General features: G+C 45.4%; 1 annotated feature.

Annotated features, from left to right (window-relative positions):
- Positions 1,875 to 2,376: an enhancer, noted in NCBI's record as "NANOG hESC enhancer chr7:145629475-145629976 (GRCh37/hg19 assembly coordinates)". NCBI's record gives its function as "activates a minimal SCP1, AML or CMV promoter by ChIP-STARR-seq in primed H9 embryonic stem cells {active_cell/tissue: H9 hESC(primed)}" and the evidence as "EXISTENCE:reporter gene assay evidence [ECO:0000049][PMID:30033119]".

Raw genomic sequence — 2,617 nt, 5'->3', positions numbered from 1 at the left:
ACTCAAAAAACCAAGTCCAAAGTCTCATCTGAGACAGGGCAAGTCCCTTCTACCTAGGAGCCTGTAAAATCAAAACAACTTATCTATTTCCTAGATGCAATGGGAGCACAGGCATTGGGAAAATACACCTGTTCCAAATGGGAGAAATTGGCCAAAACAAAGGGGCTACAGGCCTTTTGTGCAAGTCTGAAATCCAGGAGGGCAGTCATTAAACCTTAAAGTTCCAAAATGATCTCTTTTGACTCCACGTCTCACATCCAGGTCTTGCTGATGCAAGAAGTGGGCTCCCATGGCCTTGGACAAGTCTACCCATGTGGTTTTGCAGGGTACAGCCCCCCTGCTGGCTGCTTTCACAGCTGACATTGAGTGTCTGTGGCTTTCTCAGGCACAGATTGCAAGCTTTTGGTGGATCTGCCATTCTGGGGTCTGGAGGACGGTGGCCCTCTTCTCACAGGTCCACTAGTCAGTGCCCCAGTGCGGGCTCTGTGCGGGAATATCAACCCCTCATTTTCCTTCCACACTGCCCTAGAAGAGGTTCTCCATGAGGGTACCACCTCTGCAGCAAACTTATGCCTGGACATCCAGGTGTTTCCATAAAACCTCTGAAATCTAGCCAGAGGTTCCCAAATCTCAATTCTTGACTTCTCTGTACCCACAGGCTCAATACCATGTGGATGCTGCCAAGGCTTGGGGCTTGCCTCCTCTGAAACCAAGCCCAGAGCTGTAGGTTGGCCCCTTTTAGCCAAAGCTGGAGCAGCTGGGATGAAGGACACCAAGTCCCTAGACTGCACACAGAAGAGGGACCCTGGGCCCAGCTCATGAAACTACTTTTGTCTCGAGGCCTCCAGGCCTGTGATGAGAGGGGCTGCTGTGAAGATCTCTGACTTACACTGGAGACATTTTCCCCACTGTCTTGGGGACTAACATTTGGCTACTTATTACTTACGCAAATTTCTGCAGCCAACAGCTTGAATTTCTCCTCAGAAAATGGGGTTTTCTTTCCTATCACATTGTCTGCCTGCAAATTTTCTGAACTTCTATACTCTGCTTCCATTTTAAAACTGAATGCACTTAACAGGAACCAAATAATCTTTTGAATGCTTTGCTGCTTAGAAATTTCTTCTGCCACCTACCCTAAATCATCTTCCTCAGGTTCAAAGTTCCACATATCTCTAGGGCAGGGAAAAAATGCAGCCAGTCTCCTTGCTAAAGCATAGCAAGAGTCATCTTAGTTCCAGTTCCCAACAAGTTTCTCATCTCCATCTGAGACCACTTCAGCCTGGATTTCATTGTCCATATCACTATCAGCATTTTGGCCAAAGCCATTCAGCAAGTCTCTAGGAAGTTCCAAACTTTCCCACATTTTCCTATCTTCTTCTGAGCCCTCCAAACTGTTCCAACTTCTGCCTGTTACCTAGTTCCAAAGTCACTTCTATATTTTCAGGTATCTTAACAGCAGTGCCCCACTTGTACCAATTTACTGTATTAGTTCATTTTCACATTGCTGATAAAGACATACTTGAGACTGGGTAATTTATAAAATAAAAAGAGGTTTAATGGACTCACAGTTCCACATGGCTGGGGAGGCCTCACAATCATGGCAAAAGATGTATGAAGAGCAAAGGGACTTCTTACATGATGGTGGGCAAGAGAGGACTTGTGATTTTTATAAATCCATCAAGATTTCTTGAGACTTATTCACTACCACAAGAACAGCACAGGAAAGACCCACCTCCATGATCCAATTACCTCCCACTAGGTCCTTCCCACAACATGTGGGAATTGTGGGAGCTACAACTCAAGATGAGATTTGGGTGGAGACACAGCCAAACCATATTAGTTCCCAAATCTCAGTTCTTGTCTTCTATGCACCTGCAGCCCCAACACCACATGGAAGCTGCCAAGATTTGGGGCTTGCACCCTCTGAAGCAATGGCCTGAGCTGTATCTTTGTCCCTTTCAGTCATGCTGGAGTGGCTGGGATGCAGGTCACCAAGTTCCCAGGCTGCATTAGGAGGGTTGCCCTGGACCTAGTCCAGGATACTATTTTTCCCTCCTAGGCTTCTGGGCCTGTGATAGGGGCTGCCACACAGGTTTCTGACATATCCTAGGCATATTTTCCCCATTGTCTTGATGATTAGCATTTGGCTCCTTGTTTCTTATGTAAATTTCTGTAGCCAGCTTGAATTTCTCCCCAGAAAATGTGTTTTTTTCCTTACTACTGCATCATCAGGCTGCAATTTTTCCAAACTTTTACGCTCTGTCACATCTTGAATGCTTTTCTGCTTAGAAATTTCTTCCACAAGATACAGTAAGTCATCTCTCTCAAGTTCAACGTTCCACAAATCTCTAGGGTAGGAGCAAAATACCACCAGCCTCTTTGCATATCAAGAGTGACCTTTACTTCTGTTCCCAAAAAGTTTCTCATCTCCATCTGAGACCACCTCAGCCTGGACTTTATTGTTCGTATCACTATCAGCATTTTGGTCAAAGCCGTTCAACAAGTCTTTAGGAAGTTCCAAATTTTCCCACATTTCCCTGTCTTCTTCTGAGCCTTCCAAACTGTTCCAACCTCTGCCTGTCACAAAGTTCCAAATTCACTTTCACATTTTTGGGTG

Source organism: Homo sapiens, chromosome 7, assembly GCF_000001405.40.
Source record: "Homo sapiens chromosome 7, GRCh38.p14 Primary Assembly".
NCBI classification, from domain to species: Eukaryota; Metazoa; Chordata; class Mammalia; order Primates; family Hominidae; genus Homo; species Homo sapiens.
This window is presented reverse-complemented; position numbering and strand designations above follow the sequence as displayed.